Source organism: Homo sapiens, chromosome 5 (assembly GCF_000001405.40).
Source record: "Homo sapiens chromosome 5, GRCh38.p14 Primary Assembly".
NCBI lineage: Eukaryota > Metazoa > Chordata > Mammalia > Primates > Hominidae > Homo > Homo sapiens.
Window position 1 is genome coordinate 93,131,978 of NC_000005.10, and position 24,972 is coordinate 93,156,949.

The 24,972-nt window shown below is 38.3% G+C and overlaps 1 long non-coding RNA gene across 2 annotated transcripts in view; it reads right to left on the minus strand.

Moving 5' to 3' along the window:
* Positions 1-3,807: 3,807 nt before the first annotated feature.
* LOC105379083 (uncharacterized) overlaps positions 3,808-24,972 on the minus strand; it is a 55,405-nt gene continuing 34,240 nt past the window's right edge. For both annotated transcript variants that reach the window (XR_007058869.1, XR_948569.3), the window contains exons 2-3: positions 17,849-17,929; positions 3,808-3,976 (exon numbers count right to left, since the gene is read on the minus strand). This is a non-coding gene — a long non-coding RNA (uncharacterized LOC105379083). The remainder of the gene's footprint in view (positions 3,977-17,848; positions 17,930-24,972) is intronic.

The following is a 24,972-nucleotide window of genomic DNA, read 5'->3' on the forward strand; positions in this document are numbered from 1 at the left end:
GAGATTATCACCAGTCAACGTGGGTTCGAAGAAGATACAACATGTGTTCAAAGTACACATTTTGGTTAGGGGAAAATATTTTATCTTTGATCACTTTTGTTACTTGTTTTGCAAAGTGGAATCCCAAGGCTGGGATTCAAGCCACAGTGCATGCTCAATTCAGCTTACTCAACAACTGGATACATTGCCTTACTGAAATTATTTATGCTTTTAGACCAATGTCTTACTCATCTATCAACTGTACACAACCCTGGACAAGCCCCTAAACTTCTCTGAGTGTCAATCTTTTCTCTATTAAAAACATAAAGGATATTCAGGCTAAATAATCTTTCTCATAACCTGGTGATAAAGGAGCCTCAGTTTGAATAGGGAAATATTACTTGCTTTAAAAATTCTCTTGAGAACTAAATAAAAATAAATTTGTAAGTGTAGGGGGAAATGAAAAGGCATTAGGCACATATTTGATCTTCTAAAAATCACTTAAGAGAAAATACTGCCTTGCTCAATGTGGGAACACAAGTAATAATTGGAATAAAGTTTTGATTCCTGTGATTTTGATTCATGAAATATTTTAACTGGAGAACTTGGTTCAAAGAGGATTTTTTCTTTTTCTGCTGCTGCTTTGTGGAGATGCTGCTTCCATGAACTCTTATTATAACACATTTCCATGAAGTCTAGTCTTGGAACAGACCAGAATGACCTACCATTTGTCTCCTGCCCCTGACTCTCCACTCCCCTAAATTGCCCTATCAGGCTCAGCCACTCTGAGAATACCACTAGCACTACATTCGGCTCTGTCATTATTTACATGCTTGTCCCTCTAACTGCATTCCCATTTGATGATAAGTGCCATAAAGGCAGGAACAATACCTTTCATCCTTCAATACTGACAGCCTAACAGAGTACCTAGCAATCAGTTAGATAGTAAGTGCTAATATTTGTGAAATGAGTAAATAAATGATTTAGTGGCTCAAATTACTCTTCGAAATGACCCACGTTGGTATTTTTAAATTATCAAGATAGCTAATTTACTGAGCACTTATTTGTGCTGGCTTTGTTTTAAATGGTTAATGTACAATGTCTCATTTAATCATACTCTATGAGGCAGGTGAAACTTGGGGAAAATTTCATTCACAAAGCTGTTTTAAGCAAGTGTGTTTATCTCACTGGCAGCCTACCTAACGGACAACAGGCCAAAACATTTGGGCAAGACTCTGTTCAAATTCACAATCTGAAATGCTCAAACTACAGTGGTTATTTGCTACTTTCTGGTTGCCCAATATCCATTCTGACTGTATTGGACAATGAACCCGAAATTCCTTTTAAGAAATTAATTATCCCTCACTATTTAATAGGAACTTTTTCATAGGAATATAACAGAAAAATATGTGACCCAAGCTCAGCCAACCAAACTGTTTTCTTTTTTTTTTTTTTTTTTTCAATCTATAGCTTGAGCAGAATGAAGCAAAGACAGGAGGTATGGGAGCACGACAGTTGGAGCCTATACCTTCTAGCAACAATGATTCCTTCTACCAGAACCTCAGAATTGTTCCCTGCCCTTCCTAAATCTGGTTCTTCAAATTTCCTTTCCACCATAGGAGCCACTCCAATATTTTTCTCATAAGTTTTGTTTTTTCTCCCCCCACACTGGATAAAGTCAGTTCTGTTGCTTACAACCATAGGGTCTTAATTGACGTTGATGCCTGCCCCTGGAGAGCAGAATCCTCTCCCCACCCCAAGTAACTGCTATTATTTTTGTGGCCCAAGGGCAGAAGCATAATAAAGATGCAATTCACATTCTTGGAAGTTTGATGTTCTCTTTGAAAGATTTGCTTTCAATCAGGGTCTGTGACTAGGATGAAACAAGCAAGTACCAAGGGTGCAAAATAGAAGGCACAACCTTAGGGTCGTGCAGGTCCCAGATCAGCTCCTGAGAGTGAGAACCTCCTGACATTTTGCATCAGTGTGCCTCCTTGACTCACCCTAGTTCAGCTCTGTTCTCAACCTACGTTTACAGACAGAGGTGTGTTTCTTTTATGAGGAAATGTTTCTGGCTTTAGGTCCACGGGACTTCATATTGCACCAGTTCTCTCCCAGATACTGCAATTTCAAGGCTGCAGAAGCAGTTGTTATTTGAGGACTCTCCTGTTAGACATTCACAGAACTTATTATTTTGAATCCATAGCTTAAAACTCTTGGGTGGTTAGCTACATGCTTGGTGAGAGTTCAAGACATTACTAATACTGGAAGAAATAACTGCGTTTTAATATATATATTATATATGTCATTTCTATAATGTTGAATATACTGTTTGCCTCATATTTTTTAATATTATGTTGGTGATGATGTCTATTTCATACATTATTGGTTTTTATCTCTACTAAAAGAAATCCTACAGCTGAAATTTTCCATGGATCAACAGAGCACATATGGAAATAAAATATGTAGGTCTTGCATCTGTAATAAATAGTTTTTGAAAGAAAGAGGTCATTTCTTCACTTGGTGCAGGCAGCTGGCACAAGCAGAGTAGAAAAAATCAGTTTATTTGAATTAGAACTTTGCAAATATGATTGTATCATAATCACAATGATTCTATCATAGGATGGTGTTCAGCACAGCACTCTTAAGTAGGATATACATTTAAAAAAATTGAGTCATAGTTTTATTCAGAGGTTCTATGTCTATGAAGAATTGACTAGAATCTTTAAGAGAATTACATTCTTTTGATTCCTTTCTGTTACTGTATTTGCTTTTTGTTCTGAATTTCCTTTTTTAAATAGTAACCTTCTTGTATCCTCAAAGTCATCTTTTACTTCTTTCTTGGCCTATGGCCTCACACTCAATCACTTGCCGAGGCCTGTTCATTGTTTTACTCTCTCCCAACCATGCCTTCTTTCCATTTCTTCCACTTGGACAAATGCAATAGCCTCCCATTCCCTAACCATCTTAGCCTTCCTTAAACCTTACTGTCTTTTCTTCATGCTCTGAAGCAGTTAATGTCTCCCCATTACCTCAAAGAGAAACTACAAAACCCTTTAAATAGCTTTAAAGTACCTCCATGATTTGGCCTTCATTTATTTTATATTTCTGATTTATAGTTTAGTGTTTCTATTCATAAACTACTTGCTGTTCACTATCTGAACTCTCACTTTTCTGCCTGCATAACTTTATCCATGCTATTTCCTTCAACAGGAATGACCTTACAAATTTCCCACAATCATCAAGTCACAGCTAAAATATCATTTTTTCCATAGAGCTTTTCTTGATCATACCAGCCAGAAGTCCTCTGAACATAAAATTATTCCTGAACTTGTTCGTGAAGTAGATTTTATAACTTTTTATTGCCATACCTATTAGATTACATGTACATTAATGTAAAATTCTCTGATTAATTAGCCTTCACTTTCTCCTATGGTAAGCCAGCAATGTACCTTGTACACAACAGATGAAGCATGAACATTAATGTATAATGAGTGAATATAAATGTATATTCTGTCATATATATATATATATATATATATATATATATATATATATATGGCTGGTCCTTATATTTGTTTACAGTTTCTTTTTCTCCTTTAGTTTTACTAAATATTGGCATAACCATCATACCATTTATTCAGCTGTGCACATTCTCAAATAATGTACATTTCCTTAGGTCTTACACGGGTAAATTATTCTGTTTTCATGGGATCATAAAAAGGAGGAAAATCTGCCACCTCATTCTCAACTCCTTCTACCAGCCCTAGAAGTTCATCTCTTCCAGCCCAACATTAAGATTTTTAGTCAAAGTGTAGTATTTCAGACCTGTGGGGTTGCCCCATATTCAGGGGACTCCTGAAAGCTGAGGACTCCCCAGGACTCAACGGGACCAGTGCCATTGTGTTGGCCCTGCCTTTGTTCCCCTGCTGCTCAGATCTGCAGGTTGTCACATATAAGCAGCCATTTCTCTTGTAGGTGCCACAGAACTCAGATTCTAGCAGAAAAGATAAATGCAAAAAGGAAGTATTAGTGTCTATTATACTGAGACTGATCCTCAACATTCCAACTTGATAAACATTTAGCTCCACTCCCTTCTGTAACTCTGGTGTGTCAAAGCTCAAAACAGAGCCTGCCGTAAGCTGTGACTACAACCTACCAGTGCCTGGTTGTGAAAACTACAATCAGAGCAGTCAAGGGCAACATTTCTTAAAACCTATTTAATTCTAACATTTTTGAATGGGTGCTTTTGTTCTGGGTGGAATAGTATCATTTAGAAGGTGAAGAAGAATTTTATTTAATTTTTTTAAAAAGAACTTAGTGGAAGGGTCTTCTACAGTTTCAAAAATTCCCCACAAAAGTTTTATCTTGCGTTTTTAATTAAATTATACACTATTCTTTTAAGATAAATATTATAGCTTATAAACTATTAAGCTATTTGATCACTGATACAAAATAAAAATAAAAATCGTAAAAACCTCCAAAAAAACATAAACAAACTATGTATCATTTAACTGGATTAACTAAAGTTAAATGAGAACAAAAGAAAAGGTTTTTCATGGGTTAATTTGAGGAGACAACATCAAATAATAATTGGCAAAATGTTATAATAGAAATATTGCAATGATTTATTGAGTGTGAAGGAACTGGTGTTTTTGTTTTTTGTTTTTTTTAATTTATTTATATTTTATTGAGACAGAGTTTCAGCCTCCCGAGTAGCTGGGATTACAGGCATGCGCCACCTCGCTCGGCTAATTTTGTATTTTTAGTAGAGACGGGGTTTCTCCATGTTGGTCAAGCTGGTCTCAAACTCCCGATCTCAGGTGATCTGCCTGCCTCAGCCTCCCAAAGTGCTGGGATTACAGGCGTGAGCCACGGTGCCCGGCCCACTATGTTAATTTTTAAAATGATAAGCAGAATAACATCATCATAGATTGCATTATCTCTCCTTAATTCTTCCTTCCCTTCCTTCTCTTGCCAACCTTCAGTATTAGTTTGCTATAGTGACTTAAACAAAATAAATTTATTTTCTCACAGCTTTAAAGGCTGGAAGTCTGAGATCAAGATGTTGCTGGGGTTGATTTCTCCTGAGGGCTGTGAGAAGAGAATCCAGGCCTCTCTCTTTGACTTGTAAATGGCCATCTCCTCCTTAAGACTTCTCATTGTCTTGCCTTTGTGTCTTTATGTCCAAATTTCTTCATTTTATAAGGACACCAGTCATGTTGGATTAGGGCCTACTTTGATAACCTCTTTTTTTTTTATTATTATACCTTAAGTTTTAGGGTACATGTGCACAACGTGCAGGTTTGTTACCTATGTATACATGTGCCATGCTGGTGTGCTGCACCCATTGACTCGTCATTTAGCATTAGGTATATCTCCTAATGCTATCCCTACCCCCTACCCCCACCCCACAACAGTCACCGGTGTGTGATGTTCCCCTTCCTGTGTCCATGTGTTCTCACTGTTCAATTCCCACCTATGAGTGAGAACACGTGGTGTTTGGTTTTTTGTCCTTGCAATAGTTTGCTGAGAATGATGGTTTTCAGATTCATCCATGTCCCTACAAAAGACATGAACTCATCATTTTTTATGGCTGCATAGTATTCCATGGTGTATATGTGCCACATTTTCTTAATCCAGTCTATCATTGTTGGACATTTATGTTGGTTCCAAGTCTTTGCTATTGTGAATAGTGCCGCTATAAACATATGTGTGCATGTGTCTTTATAGCAGCATGATTTATAATCCTTTGGGAATATACCCAGTAATGGGATGGCTGGGTCAAATGGTATTTCTAGTTCTAGATCCCTGAGGAATTGCCACACTGACTTCCACAATGGTTGAACTAGTTTACAGTCCCACCAACAGTGTAAAAGTGTTCCTATTTCTCCACATCCTCTCCAGCACCTGTTGTTTCCTGACTTTTTAATGATCGCCATTCTAACTGGTGTGAGATGGTATCTCATTGTGGTTTTGATTTGCATTTCTCTGATGGCCAGTGATGATGAGCATTTTTTCATGTGTCTTTTGGCTGCATAAATGTCTTCTTTTGAGAAGTGTCTGTTCATATCCTTCACCCACTTTTTGATGGGGTTGTTTTTTTCTTGTAAATTTGTTTGAGTTCTTTGTAGATTCTGGATATTAGCCATTTGTCAGATGAGTAGGTTGCGAAAATGTTCTCCCATTCTGTAGGTTGCCTGTTCACTCTGATGGTAGTTTCTTTTGCTGTGAAGAAGCTCCTTAGTTTAATTAGATCCCATTTGCAATTTTGTCTTTTGTTGCCATTGTTTTTGGTGTTTTAGACATGAAGTCCTTGCCCATGCCTATGTCCTGAATGGTATTGCCTAGGTTTTCTTCTAGGGTTTTTATGGTTTTAGGTCTAACATGTAAGTCTTTAATCCATCTTGAATTAATTTTTGTATAAGGTGTAAGGAAGGGATCCAGTTTCAGCTTTCTACATATGGCTAGCCAGTTTTCCCAGCACCATTTATTAAATAGGGAATCCTTTCCCCATTGCTTGTTTTTCTCAGGTTTGTCAAAGATCAGATGGTTGTAGATTTGCAGCATTATTTCTGAGGGCTCTGTTCTGTTCCATTGGTCTATATCTCTGTTTTGGTACCAGTACCATGCTGTTTTGGTTACTGTAGCCTTGTAGTATAGTTTGAAGTCAGGTAGCTTGATGCCTCCAGCTTTGTTCTTTTGGCTTAGGATTGACTTGGCAATGCGGGCTCTTTTTTGGTTCCATATGAACTTTAAAGTAGTTTTTTCCAATTCTGTGAAGAAAGTCATTGGTAGCTTGATGGGGATGGCATTGAATCTGTAAATAACCTTGGGCAGTATGGCCATTTTCACGATATTGATTCTTCCTACCCATGAGTGTGGAATGTTCTTCCATTTGTTTGTATCCTCTTTTATTTTGTTGAGCAGTGGTTTGTAGTTCTCCTTGAAGAGGTTCTTCACATCCCTTGTAAGGTGGATTCCTAGGTATTTTATTCTCTTTGAAGCAATTGTGAACGGGTGTTCACTCATGATTTGGCTCTCTGTCTGTTATTGGTGTATAAGAATGCTTGTGATTTTTGTACATTGAATTTGTATCCTGAGACTTTGCTGAAGTTGCTTATCAGCTTGAGGAGATTTTGGGCTGAGACGATGGGGTTTTCTAGATATACAATCATGTCATCTGCAAACACGGACAATTTGACTTCCTCTTTTCCTGATGAATACCCTTTATTTCCTTCTCCTGCCTGATTGCCCTGGCCAGAACTTCCAACACTATGTTGAATAGGAGTGGTGAGAGAGGGCATCCCTCTCTTGCGCCCATTTTCAAAGGGAATGCTTCCAGTTTTTTTCCCATTCTGTATGATATTGGCTGTGGGTTTGTCATAGATAGCTCTTGTTATTTTGAGATACGTCCCATCAATACCTAATTTATTGAGAGTTTTTAGCATGAAGGTTTGTTGAATTTTAGGAACTGGTCTCTTTAAAGGAGCATCAAAATTGCTTGCATACCATATGTCAATCTGTTATTTGAGTGACATCTGTCAATTGCCTATTTTCCTTTGATGACATTAGATTTAATCAATAACATGTATCTAGATATTATATATGGCAAAAATGTTCCAGAGTACAACTATTTATTGGGGAACCACTTTTATTTAAAGCAAAACATCATGGGCAAATTTGACCTTTTTCAGCTTCAAAATATCTTAATACTGAAGTTCCTAGTGTCAGACCCAAATGAACCCACCATAGCTGACTTTACAGTGACATTATTCTGTAAACGTTGTACTTAAAATCATAGGTTTCTCCTTCTTAGGTGCTGTTTCATAAACAAGGAGCAAAAAATTTAGTACTGTATTAATTAGAACTCTTTTGAATGCACATGGTAGATAAACCAAGGAAACCCAGCTCTAATAAATGTTTTCTTTCCACCACTTCCATCTGGCTTCTGCTGTGTCAGCTTCAGTTTCATCTCCACCTATAGTTAGGATGACTTCCACAGGCCCCACTTCACTATTTTCCTCTGTCTTAGAAGTCCTAACAGTCTCTTGACATCTGATTCTCTATGGTGGGATCACATGCCTATTTCTGAACCAATTCCTATGGTCCTAAGAGATTCAGAGTCTCATTGGTCAGGTCTGAATTACATGTCATCCTTGGAGCTGAGAATCGAGTCAGCTCTACTCAAATCACAGGAACTGGTTGTGAGAAGGGGAATAGCCCCCAAATAAAATGGAAGTGGGATAAATGGATTATGCAGAGTTCAAAAAGCAACAAATACCTGTTATGAGTAAGAACAACGCAGTCCTGTTCATCAAGGAACCTAGAAGTAATGCCAGTTCTACCACAGTTGTTCAGCCTTGGGAACGTCACTGCTGGGCTTTTGAGATTTTTTTGGCTCACTCACTGTTTTAGCCTCCTAATCCATAGGAATCCCTTTCCAGTCTCTTCTGCACTGTTCCCAGGATAAGGTCCAAAATCCTGAATAGAGCCCTACATGAGCAGCCTTGGTTTACCTCTACAGCCTCATCTCAAAACTCACTCTGAGTGGCACTCTCAGCTCAAACCACCCAGGTCCTTTGTTAATTTCTTAAACAGGTCATGATCTTCCTGTAACAGGGCCTTTGCACACTCTCTACCTATTCCCTAGACAGCTCTCCTTTCTCCTATTTGCTCAGTGAAGCCCTGTTCAACCTTCAGATATTATTCAAGCATTATTTCCACAAAGAAGTTTTCCTAACACCACTCCTATTGGGGTCACACTCTCCTATAATACTCTCTCATAAAGCATATCATTTAATAACATTCATCATAATTTTTATTTTATACATATTTTTGTGATAAGTTGATTAATGTTTTCATCCCCCACTAAAGTATAAGCTCCGTGAGGAATAGATCTATTTTTGCTTACCACTATATCCCTGTGCCTAGCACATAGTCAATACTGAATAAAGATCTATAGACTAAATGAAGGAATAAATAAAGACACTTTATGACAATGAGTCTCTGAAGTAATCTCTTTCATCTCTGAAGTAATAGGGTTAAACCAAAAGATTTCGAACCGTCAATTCCAGCTCTAAAATTCTCTGATTCTAATTAAACTCTATAAATGCTTCATATTATTAAATGGTTAAATGTTTTTGAATAATACTTCTGAAGAAACCAGTAAATAAATATGCTTATTTAGCCAGTGGATGTTATAAGTCAATAAATTAAGTTAGTGAAATATTGCCATCCAAATTATAACAACCAGTTCTCCATTTCCATTGATTTAGAATTAAACAAATATCCTCTACCCTCATATAAGACCATATAAGGTAGTTTAAAATCACTGTACGAGTGGTGATTAACAAAATGAACTTTTCTGGAGGACTAAGGCCAGGGCTAGCAATATTATGAGGTAAATAAACTTTGTCATCCACACATTTCCTTTTGTTTTCCATTTCTCTTATTTGGGGGCCATGCACACCCCACTATCTGAGATAAAATGCTCAGTGTCTTCTTTCTCCCCACTGGTTATCCCTATATTAGATCCCCCACACCCACATAAGACCTGCATAATACCCCAACACATACACTGTGATTCACTGTCTTCTAATTCTCCATTAAAACTTACCTGCACTTGCCTCTATTTCTTCAGAGCCCTGATCTTTACTGGGTGTCAATGGTTGTAATGGGTTATTAACAAGAAAACTCATCCATTCTAATATGTTACGTAGTTAATTAATGCTACCTCCCTCAAGATAATAGGGCATATGTCCGCTTAAAGGCTTTTAAGAAATGATAGTAATGGTGGAAATTTCAGGCACCACTGCAGACTGATGAGGGAGATGGATTTTAAAGCATGGGGGCCTCTCATTGATTCTCAAGTTATTCCATGCAGGCAGCTGCCGACTCTGCCCATGAGTAAGCCAGTCTCTCTCTGGAGAACTTTATAAACAGCATGAATTTCACTGTTTGACATGGGTAAAGCATAGTTCTCCCAGCAAATAACCTCTTTTAAGGTATCATCTGTTTATGAAGCTGTGGTTTAGATGTCCTCAAGACTAGGATGATACTTCCAGCTTCAAGATTGAACAGGTCAGTCTGCCCTGGGAAACAGATGAATTTGAAAGTATCTTTAAGTAGCTAGCTGATTTACTTATCATTTTCATTTTGGATTCCTATTCAAGCTATATACTGCTAGAAACGAAAGAGAAAGCTGAAATCTCATTGTGTGCCCTGCTCTCCCAGAACATAATTTTTCCCTCCATCTGTGAATATCCTGTTGATATCAGGGGGAGTCACCACGTGCAGAGAGGGGAGACACATGCCAGGAGAGAGAAGCCCATTATGTAGTTGAGAGCTAATTTTGCTTAATCTTCTTGATCTCCATAAAGAGCATTCTAAGACCCCACAGGATTTAAACAAAAAAGATAAAGATGAAGAAGGACTGCTCAAGCAGAGCCAGTGTAATACTTATTTATTAATGTCGTCCATCACAGTGTGTTTACGCAGCTAACCAAAATTTAAAACTGTCTGATTGAGAACAGAGGAGGAAAACAGATTGCTGTATCAAGGCAAAAACACTCACTCCATCGCTATTTACTTATATTTGGAAAATGAAAAGAAATAATATGAGTGCCACATTAAAGACCTCCGTTTCCATTTAAAATGAAAATAATGATATGTAAAAACATAAATCTGTGACCCTAGGTTTATCTTTAAATAGAAAACTCCTCTTGATAGAGAAACTCTCCACACTTAATACGGAATTAATATTAAAGGAGGCTTATCCTTCATTTTCTCCAATTTCTTCTCGGGAGGAAGGAGCTGGAACAGGAGATCTCAAAATGGCAGCAGGAGAAGGAAAGCTCACAGCTTAATGAGACCAACTTGGAGAGTAGACTTATTGTATCAGTAATTCAGCTTTGTAAAATACCGTAAAGGCCTCCCATTCAAGCAAAAGGTAGTGCATTTTGCGGTTGAACTCTTCCAGTGACAAGAAACTCATCACCCCTCAGGCAGCCTACTCTAGTTCTGGATAGCTTAGCACATTAGAAATTTCTCCCTTGTAATATTCTGAAATCTGTGCCCTTGTAATTTTCCTTTATTGCTCCTACTCTGCCCCATGGAGCCAACCACAGAGAATGAATCAAATGTGTTTTGCACAGTATGGGCCCTCAAATATCAGAAGATAGTTTTCTCTGGGCACTACCACCTTTTCTTTCTCAGTGCTTTAATCTGCAGCTTTATAGCTATGAGACCATCGCTGAAAATTTTCCTAACTTCCTGAAGCCTTCTTCCTTCCAGAGACTTATATCATGAAGCCAGACTTACCTTTTTACTAAATTTTGAAATCTGCTCTCTCTTACATGGTCTGCTGGTTTACACGTAAGATTATCTACTTAGGCTAACAATTTTGGATGTTATAAAATGAATAGGCACCTGTCTGGAGAGGAGAAAAATTAGGTCCTTATGTATCTTCGAATCCTCTACAGTGGTCCCCAACCTTTTTGGCACCAGGGACCAGTTTCATGGAAGACAATTTTTCTATGGACTGGGGGATGGTGGTGGGGTAGAGGGGACAGTTTCAGGATGATTCAATTGCTTTACATTTATTGTACACTTTTTTCTATTATTATTATTACTACATTGTAATATATAATGAAATAATTATACAACTCACCATAATGTAGAATCTGTGAGAGCCCTGAGCTTGTTTTCCTGCAACTAAGTGGTGGCAGATCATCAGGCATTAGATTCTCATAAGGAGCACACAACCTAGATCCCTTGCATTCACAATTCACATTAGGGTTCATGCTCCTGTGAGAATCTAATGCCACTGCTGAGCTGACAGGAGACAGAGGTCAGGCAGTAATGTAATTGATGGCGAGCAGCTGTAAATACAGATGTAGCTTTGCTCATTCACCTCCTGCTGTGTAGCCCAGTTCCTAACAGGCCATCAACCTGGGCCCAGGGATTGGAGACCCCTGCCCTATAACACCTGCACCTACTAGCTTTCTTACAAACAAGTGCTTTAAAATGCACTGAGTGAATAAATGAAATAACGAAGAGTCCTTATATTCTAATGTTTGCATAAGGCTTGACATCTTATAACTTTAATTCATTATTTATCACAATAAATTTAAGAGATCAGTGAAAGAGGTATTATTATCCTTATCCTATAAATGAAAATATTACAACCCAGAAATAAGTGCATTTTGAAGAAAATGTTTTTACTGGGATAAAAACAACTTTGGACTTACTCTATATTACTGCAGCATACCTTTATAGGCTCTGAAAAAAACAAGATTTCCATAAAATATATTTGTATTATAAAGTCAAAGTTAATTTATATTTTAGTACACTTCTTGGTTAGAAGGGAAATACCTAAAAGTATTTTTCCTGATGTAATGAAAAAGCCCCAATAACAAACTATGCCTGCATTAAGGAGGCCATTAAAAAAAAAATCTCAATTTTTTTAACAATTAACACTACATTTATAATAAGAAAACACCTCCTTTTTAGATGAGATGTAAGGAGGAATACAAATACAATCTTATTAATCTATTAAATAAACATTTATTGAGAATCTATTGTGTCCAGAATAGCTTAGCATAATAAAGAAAGTCACAAAGAACAAGATGGGGCCCAACCCCAAACAGAAGGATAGCCTAATAGGTATGTGAAATAAAGAGAGAATAAAAACAAATGTATGCTAGTGGGATAAATTTATAAAGAGTGAAGACTTTCCATGGAAAACCTTAAAAGAATTGTGTTGGAGGATGGAGATAAAGTACATTCCAGGTAATTTATATGAACTGCTCGGCCTTAGATAAACCGTATAAGGGGATCCAGTATGTCTTGTGCTCCCTTCATTTCCCCTCTCTCATCTCTTTCAGACAACCTTGATCAGACCTAACTTCTTGCTGCCCAAGGTCCATTGGTGGAAGACAATGAAGGAAGAAAAACTTATTTCAAAGTAGCAGAGACTTCTTTTATTACTGCTTCCAGCAAATTTAGAAACTTGCGGATTTATGAACCTAATTACTGTGACAAAGGATTCCTATCTCATTAGCAACCTGCAGAGTCCACTGGGAGCTTTTCTGGGTGCCCGGGACTTCCTGCCGCCCGTCCTCCCGATCCGCCCGATGCCCATGCTCCTCCTCCAGTTCTGTGCGTGAGCTGCCTGTCTGGCAATGCGCCCCACTCTGCCACTGCTCCACTCTGCCTCTGCTCAATGCGCCCCGCTCTGCTACTGCTCAATGCACCCCGCTCTGCTACTGCTCAATGCGCCCCACTCTGCCACTGCTCAACGCGCCCCACTCTGCGTCTGCTCAGTGTGCCCCACTCTGCCACTGCTCAACGCGCCTCACTCTGCCATTGCTCCACTCTGCCTCTGCTCAATGCGCCCCACTCTGCCACTGCTCAGTGCGCCCCAGTCTGCCTCTGCTCTCCCTTGTACATCCCACTGACACAGGGAGAAAACCCCCTTCCAGCTGTGCTCAGGCACAAAGAAACCCTTCATAGGCGACATCCATCCATCCAATCACTCCCTCAGTTAAATGGCCCCAGTAAGGGAGATCTTCGTAAGGGCCACCTACTCATCCTATCACTTACTGAACTACTTTTCAACCTTCACTTCTTGTCCGATGATCTCAAATCCTTTACCTTTTAGTCAATGTGTGTGCTTTACAATTCTTAAATTCTATTTGGTGTTTTTCTATATCTCAGTGAAATTTTTCTGAGTCTAATTTGAAATTCAAACCTGGACCCAGTGTTCTCTCAAAATCCCTACTAGTACTATGTATTCATGATGAATTTTTTTTCATTCCTACAAATAAAAGGATTTCCATAAACTTCCCCACAGTCTACAAATATTTCATGAGTGATGCATGCCAAAATGAGACTCTCACTCTGGTAAATACTGACTTGGCATACATGCCATCAAAGCATTTGCAGATTGATCTCTGTTAGATACTCACGGCCTGGTGGACTGATAACTGCAGCTGTAGGGAAGAGGGGAGGGAATGTTAGGCTTACTCCCAGCTCCCCTGCATACACTCAGTGTTCCTGAATGAGCTAGCAAACCTCATATGACAATTTGTGGTAACAAAATTGTGATCTTGACACAGCTCCTAGAACAACAGAGTACTGAATAACAACAAAAATTGCAGTGAGTGCCATCACCGTGAAATGATGATTCATTTGGCAACTGCCATACAATATAACAAAAATATACCCAGATGAAATGAAAGTTACTTCAAATTTATAAAATACAAAAAATCTTTAACTACCTATTCAAACCCCAACATCATATAGTTCTAGGATAGATTATATGATGTACAATGCTCTTCTCAAAGATGGTTTAAAACTTAGGATGTCATGATTCCCTATATTTCAGGAGCTTGCTTTTCCATTCTCAGCTTGACTCTGCTTAAACTGAAAAGGATGGGCTGCAGACCTTGACATATTCTGTGAAACCCTGAAGTAGTTGCATCCCCATCTGCTGTTTTTTTGAGCAGCATATCACAGACAGATCTGATGTCCACAGTCACCCCTCCCATTCATGTGCTCCATTTGTCAGCTTTCTCCAATGGCTCACATTTTGCTTCTAGCTTGTCTTAGTCTGTTTTCTGTTGCTATAACAGAATACCACAGGCTACGTAATTTATGAAGAAAAGAGACTTACCTGGCTCACAGTTGTACAGGCTGGGAAGTCTAAGATTGAGGGGCCTCATCTGGTAAGTGTCTTCTTGCCACGTCATAACATGGCAGAAGGGTAAGTAAGCACCAAGACCAGAGAGAAAGGGGCTAATCTTTCAAGATAATGCACCCACTCCTGTATTGATAGCATTGATCCACTCATGAAAACAGAGTCCTCATGACCTAATCACCTCTTAAAGGTCCCAACTCTCAACACTGTTAAAATGGCAATTAAGTTTCAACATGAGTTTTGGAGGAGACATACAGACCATAGGATAGCCTTTCACCTGTCAGTCCCTGATTACAGAGATTCCCATTCTGTCCCACGAAACTTCTGTGGACCTCTGGGCCCTATTTTCCTTTAGGTATCATCTTTTCAATGAGTCTCTATACCCTACATCAGAGTTTATAATTTCCAGAGCACCCACTTACTCTAGAGGAATATTTTTAAAGATCTGAAGAGTTTGTGTCTGTTTCTACTCAACCTTATAGTAGTCTATCAATTTATTAGGTCCTGGGTAAAAAAAAAAAAATTAGAAACCAATGCACAATGCTAATAACTGTGAGATAACTTAATAGATATAAATGTTTCACAAAGGTGTTGCATAAGAAGAGGCCCATTAAGTAGATGTGTGAATCTGGAAGAACAGAAAGGGTAATTCTGTTTAATAAGATGTTTCCAGCATTATCTTACTAATTTGCTAAGGAGCAGGTACAGGCCATACAGCACTTATAAAGTAATTAGAAATCCTTGATAATTGTTTTTTTAATTAACAACAAAATTTGAAGGAAAAAAAACCTGATATCCATTCCCACTTCTCTTCTGGATTAATTGTATTAGATTCAGGAAAAGCAGTTTATGCACAAGAGATTTTTTCATTCCAAATTACAGGGTGAAGAGGAGACTATTGGATACTCATGTGATTTATGAAAGCAGAGGGTCCGCTTATTTCTACTCCTTTTAATGTTACAAGAAAACCTGCTGATCATTTCTGACAAACTTTTGGTCTCTTATTAGGGGAGAGAAGATCTCACTGTAAACACTTACTTTCCCCTTAGCCCTTAATATCATGTTCCATCCTCAATTATTGAAGGTTACTGAGTCACATAAGTCCAACAAAGAGAATTTTGATCATCAGCAGTGATGACAAGGCCATCAGCATAAATATAATGAGCCCTGCATGGTCTACAGAAAGCAAATAAGAATATTACTGTGATAAATCTAGGCGCTTCATACTGTAAGCGAATGACTGATCACTCAGCTAGAATTGCCTCCCCATGGATTTAGGCTTCTATTTTATTTCATGTCAAGCATTATGCCTACTTCTATGTTCCTCTAAGTCAAGATCAAATATCCCTTCCAGTGAAAGAAAAAGTGATGATAGGTGTTCCTGCCAAAATTGAGTCCATCCTTTTCATTAGAATCTTACCAAATTTTAAAGCTTACAATTTAAAATTCCAGTCATCTCCTGAAAATCAGTTTTCTCTAAGAATTTCACCTGCTGCTTGGCTTGAGGTGCATCTGTGTAAGTTTTTATCTTCTGTATTCTAGAATAAAAAAGAATGCCATTTTTATTTTATTCCCTTCTACGCCTAGGAATTGAGATTGTGTTCTGAGGTGGAATGAAGGATACAGGAAAGACCCTGATCTGTTGCATACATTAAAAAGGCAATTTGGGGAAGTGTAAAATGTCCAAATTGTGTCATTTCTGGCCTCTTTTATGGCCACTGAAGGAGATGGAAGACATTGTCACACCGAAAACCAGTCATTCAAAAATTAAAAATAAACGTTTAGCTAGGTGACCATACTTTCTTGTTTGCACAGGGACAGTCTCGGCTAGTGCCTGTGGTCAGGCATAATTATTAAAAGTGCCATTTCTCACCTTCAAAAGTGTCCCAGTTTATGGCTAGCCATATATAGAAAGCTGAAACTGGATCCCTTCCTTACACCTTATACAAAAATTAATTCAAGATGGATTAAAGACTTAAACGTTAGACCTCAAACCATAAAAACCCTAGAAGAAAACCTAGGCATTACCATTCAGGACATAGGCACGGGCAAGGACTTCATGTCTAAAACACCAAAAGCAATGGCAACAAAAGACAAAATTGACAAATGGGATCTAATTAAACTAAAGAGCTTCTGCACAGCAAAAGAAACTACCATCAGAGTGAACAGGCAACCTACAAAATGGGAGAAAATTTTCACAACCTACTCATCTGACAAAGGGCTAATATCCAGAATCTACAATGAACTCAAACAAATTTACAAGAAAAAAACAAACAACCCCATCAAAAAGTGGGTGAAGGATATGAACAGACACTTCTCAAAAGAAGACATTTATGCAGCCAAAAAACACATGAAAAAATGCTCATCATCACTGGCCATCAGAGAAATGCAAATCAAAACCACAATGAGATACCATCTCACACCAGTTAGAATGGCAATCATTAAAAAGTCAGGAAACAACCGGTGCTGGAGAGGATGTGGAGAAATAGGAACACTTTTACACTGTTGGTGGGACTGTAAACTAGTTCAACCATTGTGGAAGTCAGTGTGGCGATTCCTCAGGGATCTAGAACTAGAAATACCATTTGACCCAGCCATCCCATTACTGGGTATATACCCAAAGGATTATAAATCATGCTGCTATAAAGACACATACACACGTATGTTTACTGCGGCACTATTCACAATAGCAAAGACTTGGAACCAACCCAAATGTCCAAAAATGATAGATTGGATTAAGAAAATGTGGCACATATACACCATGGAATACTATGCAGCCATAAAAAATGATGAGTTCATGTCCTTTGTAGGGACATGGATGAAATTGGAAATCATCATTCTCAGTAAACTATGGCAAGAACAAAAAACCAAACACCACATGTTCTCACTCATAGGTGGGAATTGAACAGTGAGAACACATGGACACAGGAAGGGGAACATCACACTCTGGGGACTGTTGTGGGGTGGGGGGAGGGGGTAGGGATAGCATGAGGAGATATACCTAATGCTAAATGACGAGTTATTGGGTGCAGCACACCAGCATGGCACATGTATACATATGTAACTAACCTGCACATTGTGCACATGTACCCTAAAACTTAAAGTATAATAATAATTTTTAAAAAGTGTCCCAGTTTAGACAATAAATTACATGGTGATCCTACTTACAACCAAGTTGGAAGAGAGAATTCTTCAAGCTTCCTAAAAGTAATCTTCCAGGTAAATATGAGGTTTCTACTGGTACTCAACCTAAAAGAGAAAATATAATACTTCAGGGATTAGGGTCTAATTACATCTATCTTTCTGCAGGTTTTTATTTTTAAAAACCTCATCTTTATGATTAAATGTAGATATCATCCCCTATGACGAGGATGGACTTTTTTAAGTGTTCAAACCAACTAACAATCAGCTAACTAATTTAACAATCTAACTAACTAAATGATAGAGATTGAAAAATCACAAGACAGCTTACCTGTTTTCACCAATGTGCCTAGACCCAGGGGATTTGAATAACTGCCTCACATTCATTTATTCATTCAACAGGTATTCAATAAGTATGAAGAACTGTACTAAGTGTTTTCGGGCATAGAAATCAAATCAGATTCAGACACTGCCCTCATGGACTTTATAGTCTTGTAGATAAGATAAGAAACATATATGATAAATGTCCACAGGAAAGGAGACTACACAGTACTAATTGAGTCTAGTGGGAAAAAAAGATGACATTCTTATCAGGGGACCTGGGATATATACTGACATAACCATTCTGGTTGTTTAAGTTTTGAAATACTTCCCAAGCAGTTGATAAAAAGAAATTCTCCAAGCCACCTTATGGTGTCCCCAAGTCACTTATTTAGGCCCCCAGGTCATCTTGTGGTGCCCCAACATGAGCCACAGCAGCAGGTGAACAAGTCCAGGAGCATTTCTGGTGAAAATAAGGATGGTCCAAATAGCTGCAGAGTAGACTGAGACAGCTGCTTGGGCAGTGGAGACGACGCAGGTTGGAAAGGTGAAGTACCCGTACACTGCTCAGGAACAGCCCAGTGTCCATAGGCCTGCAGAGCAGTGGCATTGGTATCAACATTGTCAGCAGGAGCCTGGCAATGGGCTGTCTAGATTGGTTCATCTGAGAAATGCTGGTGTTCTGATGCATCCCCAGTCAAAGCATAGACAGCACACACAGTCACCTCTAGCTGCAACAAAACACCAAGCTCCAGGGGACCTGGTGACTCTTTCATTCTATTCCCTATGGAAACACATTGACATGACTGTAATACAGCATTATTCTCTTGATTTTTACTAAGGGTCAGCATAAGAAATGACAGTATGAATACATTTTCCATATCTTCTTTAAAGGCCACTATTAAAGAGAAATTGATTGAAAATGAAAGTGAAGTGTCTTGAAGAAGATGGCCTATAAGCCTGACAGTGTGAACAAAAAAAATAAGGCTAAAAAATATAATCAGAAAAAGCTGGCCTCTGTGAGGTTAAAATAATTCTTTGGCCCCTCACTATAAAAATACTTTCAATATTTTCTTTTATTTTAGTAATTCATGGTTAGGTTCTTGTTTATTTCCAGGAACATTTTCTTCTTACCAACTGGTATATATCCTTTTATTAGAAAATGAATACTACATGACTCATGGAATTTCTTTATTGGCCTTTGTGACCCCCACAGGAACTAAATTTAATGTGCAACTGTAGAAAATATCCCTAGCTTAGATTTCAGATCTAATGATCTCCTCTGTTCCTACATATGGCCCTTAATATTTTAGCCTTATGTTAACATCTTATTGTATATGTGTAACCCATATCAAATTCTCCCAAAATAGGAGACTTACATCAAGTAACAGGTATATTTATGGATATGTTTTATAAAATATATAATCTTTTGAAATTTTAGACAGAAATTTCAAGAAAGTATTAAATAGACGAAGTGTTCATCTAAACTCTGTGTCCTTTGTGGGTAGCGTCATAATACTCCACCCTTTCTTGAGTGCTTACAACAATTCTTAGCTCGTATTTGTTGAATAACAAAATGAATACTGCATTAAGAAAGTATTATCGTATTATTCTCAAGATCATAATGGAGGTCAAACACCACCATAATGATGTCAAAATCCCTTCATTTTCTGAACTAAATGTGTAACAAACTTGCTGAAAGTATATTAATCATCATTTGTGACCAGGAAATGTTTTTTAATTATTTGGATATTTTGTGGTATTCGATATAGCAGGGATTTTAGCTGGAATGCAACTTAAAGAAAATCCTGTCTGCAACCGTAATGCAAAACTTTCCACTTAGCAGAACACCCAGTATATCTGCCTCTCAAGGAGTCCATTCATTTTCAGTTTCCAGCGTTGAGGTCCCCCTCTGGAACTATAGCAAATTAAGAGGTGTGTGATTCTTGAAGCTTTGTCTCTTTTACATTAATAAAGACTAATCATGTTTAAACATGTTAGCACGGCAAGTCCGGGGATGTGGGATAGGATGCCAGTTCTAAAGTGAAATTAGTAGTGTGAAGAAAGCTATGTGAAAAGTCGTGGAGAGAAATTGATTGAAAATGAAAGTGAAGTGTCTTGAAGAAGATGGCCTATAAGCCTGACAGTGTGAACTAAAAAACTAAGGTTAAAAAATATAATCAAAAAAACCTGGCCTCTGTGAGATTAAAATAACTCTTTGGCCCCTCACTATAAAACAACTGCATTAAAAGGAGAAAAAATTATACCCATAATATGCATGTTGCACAGAAGATACCTTTCAGAAAGGAGTCATGAGCAGAAAATTTTCTGGGTATAAGAAAACAAATGAAGAAGGAAAAAAATGAGCTTGCTCTTTACAACCAATGAAAACTTTCCTTTCTCTCTCTCTCTCTCTCTCTCCCCCTTCTCCCCTCCCTCCCTCTGAAATATACATACACTTGTTAAGCATTGTGAGCAGTTCACAAGCTACACAGTGAGTGAGAATCACTGCCTTAGGGTAAGTTGTTCTTACAAATAAGAAGTCAGGACCTCTGAGGCCCATATTCATTTTGCCTAATTTCTTCATGCTAGGTAGGACTTCTATAGTTAAATATTTTTCTTCTCATGTGATATTCAACTACAGATCAAACATTTGGGGTCATTTTGCATTAATGCAAAGTTTCATCATGGTGTACCAATTTCAGGTAGTTAAGTCAATAATCATAAGGAAGAGGAGAAAGAGAAAAAATAAATTATTGTATGCTTGCTGTGTGCTAGGAGCTTTCTGCATATTATCCCATAGGAGGCTCATGTCACTGAAGACAGAATTTTTGTTAATCCCTTTTATACATACGTAATGAATTGAGAGAAAAAGGTCAAATCTGCATTTGTGGCTTCAAGTGTGGCCATGGAGAGCCAGGGCTTAGTTTATCAAAAAGTAGGCATTAGTAGCTCACAGATTGCATTTTTGTAGCTCTTTACTCCAAACCAACTTTGCAGAAGGGTTCTCACCCACCTTACTGTCCCTAGCAATGCAGCTGCTTCCTTCCGTTCACTTAATTGATCATTTTTAATAGAAGGAAACAGATAATTAACTAATCAGGCAAGACATCTATTAGTGCAGACAGGCTTGTAGCTAAGTATTCAATTTATTTCAGAATGTCTGTAAAAGTGTTACATATTGTCAAAACCTTGCATATTATAAATAATGCCACCTTTAGCTAGGGGTGTATTTCTTACCTCTAGAGTCTTATGAAGTCATTCCTCTAATGGAGAAAGAGAGCTCCCGGCATTCTTAAAGGACGTACCAGTGTTGCAGAGGATGCTAGGTATTAAGTGAAAGGGAGAAGCATATCCTAATTCCTTTTCATCCCCTCCTCCCTCTACCCATGGAACAACTGACAAGCTGAATAGCTTATGGGGGTGAGTTGATCAGTAGGAGTGAGTGAAGAAGGCTAAGGCAGACAATTCTCCCAAATTAGTCCGCTGCCAGTCTTGGTTCACTGGCACTTTGACACCAATGTTAGGATGCGAGTTTATTGCAGTGGCACTTTGGCAGGATACCATTTCACGAGGAGCTTCCAGCTCAGAAAAGAAGAACAGGACTGTTATTACTGGATGCTTTAAATTCATGGGCCTTGCAAATGGAGAGATGTGTTTGTCAAGAAGTCCACATTTAAACAAATACTTGATGTTGACTTTTTGTGTGGGGGAAACTCACTTAACCCTCTGAGATCTCACATTTCGGCTAAGAAAGAGCAGTGGTTAGCTGGGTTCTATAGAAGGAATGATAAGCATTATAAATTCTCTTCCAAAATCCAAATTTACTCAAGAATGCACAACAGTAATGAACATTTATAAATGCCAAGAATAAAGCATATAGTGAGAAAGGTGAGGTTAGATTGTACCTATTTGTCATAGGATTTCACTGGAAGCCTTTTAAGTAAATTCCTCCAGTTCTAACAGATAATTTGTAGGTTGACACAAGTGCTGTGATGTGTTGCAGATGCTATAAGCCCTCTAATGCTGAGAGTGTGAGCAAAATCAGCAGTACTCTCCCCCCATTCCCTTTTTTAAGTTGTAAGCAGACAACCATGTTCCATAGGTCACAAAGTGTAAAGGTTAAACCTGCAGGATGTAAAGTGAGGAAACCAATTCACATGTATTATCTGAGAAATTAGTCTCACTGCTTTAGAGTCATAGGCTTTGAAAGTAAGGAGCTGACTCTTAATCAAATTCAACTTAGCAAAATTAACCTAAGACACATGTAATGATGACTGCTATTGAGTGATAATTAGCCATAAATGGAAAGTAATTCACAATACGATTAAAAGTTGTATTACTGTTTATTATCATAAAATATCTTTTCCCGTGATTCTTCCAGTATTTGAAATCAACATGAATGTAACCATACAGTTCTCAAACTTTGCACCAAAGCACCTCAGCATGCCACAATGAATTCATGATAAGATATTTTTGAATTTCAGAGGGAAACACAGAGATATTGAATATCTGTCAAATACTCCATAAACTACCAGCTTTGAGTTATTCACAGTGTCATTACTGATTCCTAGATTCCTTTTGGTGACATCATGCCTATGCAAAACTAGGTTCTCAGCAGTTACTATGAGCAGGCACCACATGAAAATCAATGTAGAATGTGAAACAGGATCTAAGGCTTGCAACGTCTCATCTGATTTCAAAGTTTGAGAAGCTGCATGAAGCCCAATAAGCACACACACCCCATTTGTATGTCATACTAGATAAGAGTCAAACAAAAATATATTTTTTCAATTGATGTGTAATTTTTTAAATGGCCAATAAGTTGTTAGGACATAAACACTCAAGTGTTTTTGGACCCAACCACTTAATTGAACTGTTACTTATTTATTTTGGCCTAGGAATGCTGTGAGAAAAAAATTTAAACACTAAGAACACGGTGAGCAAAAAAAAGTTTGAGAAGCTCTGAAGTAAACAGTTTTCCCAAATCTCTCTCTCTCTCTTATCTCTCATGCACGTGCATGACACACATGGGCATACATATCTACACTCTGACCCATAATTTAAAAGGGATTTCTACCTTTTTTTCCATTTAATAGATATTTATCAAGCATCATGTATGTGTTAGGCACTGAATTAGTCTAGATAACACAGAATGAGTGGAACCAATAGTCTCTGCTGTCACAAAGCTTAAGCTCCTGAGAGACAGGCAGTTGACAAACAAGTAAACACCCAAACACAGAACACAAACAATAAGAAAAGAATAAGAAAGGGTTCTTTCTAGATTTCACTCTCTAACTTCAGGGGCTCCCTTTGCCCCTCACCATGCAACAAAATTATGCTTGGCTTCCCTCCCACAAAACCCTAAGAGAGTCTTAAACCACACATGCCCACTTGCCCACCCTACTGAGGAGTAGGAAACAGCATAATCAACATACAGGATTAGAAGTAGCATCAGAGACAGCTCCAATTAGCTCCAATGAGAAAGAGCTCTGGGTATATACATAGTCTTGAGACAACTGAACAGAGGTGTGCTCAACAGGGAGCTTGGATTAGGCAACAGGAAAAGGAGAAAAGGACCTGGTGGGGACCAGCCTTGTGAAAGGCTACATCCTCAGGCAGGACACCTCTAACTAGTCTGCTACTCTAAGAATCTGTAATTTCAAAGCATGTCACTTCCCACCTAGATGCTTGGAAGGCCAGGAAATAAGATTGACAGAGGATGCCACTGAAAAGAATATGGGAGCCTTGCCTTTTGGTCTAAACCAACTCCTGTTTGCCATCAATTCTCGGACAAACAAAATTGTGCACAAAGTATCTCCCATCCAATGGAAGCTTTTCTCCTACTCCTCCCTACTTTTAGCAGGAAGGAAGCCTAGACACTACCAATGACTAGACTAGTCATGACTAGTATTATTGGATACTACTGCTGTACCCTTTTCCATAGCTCTACATAGAGGTACTTGTGCAGTCTCCTTACCAGAAATAGCCATGCGTAAACAACAATCACCAAACAAATCCCTTGAGTATTTAAGTAACAAGGGGAATTTCAACTAGAAGCAAACTCTACACTTCTATGCATGCATTTTTATTCCAAAAGGATTGTGGATGATGAGAGAGAAAGTAGTGCCAGAACAAACAAAGTGTTAGAGAGAAAAGCAAATGGAGATCTTGCCTCTCCTAATAGAGTGAGATTTCTGGACTAGAATATTTGTCTTCCTTCTCAGACTTGCCTGATATTAGCAGTGATACTTGGAAGAGTCAATCACTCTGGTACCATCACAGGAAGGAAAGTAATTCTAAGTGATAATTTAGAGCCTGTGAAGGATTTTTATGAGACTCCTCCTAACTGAGGAACTCAAGAGAAATCAAATGATCTCCTACCTACGTTTAGCAAATTCAAGTTGGAGAGTATCCTATGCCGTCGGACTTAGAGCTGGGCAACTCACTACATGCTTTCACAGCAAGAGGACTAGAGCAATTTGTCTTACAGAAAGAAAAAGTACAAACAGAAGGACAAGAGGAAAAAAGCAATTTGAAAGGTGGTGCGATGTTCAGCTATCTCAAGATGTGGAGGCGATGCTTCTTGTTGTTTTCTGCCTTGCTGCGAAGACAGCTGTAATTATGGAGTAATTTGCCAGCCTCCTTCAGCTCATGAACCTTCTAGGTAGGAGCCATACTCATTCTCTCATTGACACATGGTGTGCAATAATGTCAGTTGTGTCTCTGCTGTCAGATGCTCTCCGCTGCTGGGGAGTCATCTACCCAGGTGTGTTAGCTTTTTCCATCTGAATCAGAGTAGTCCAGCGCAAAGAAAGCAGGTTTTCAGA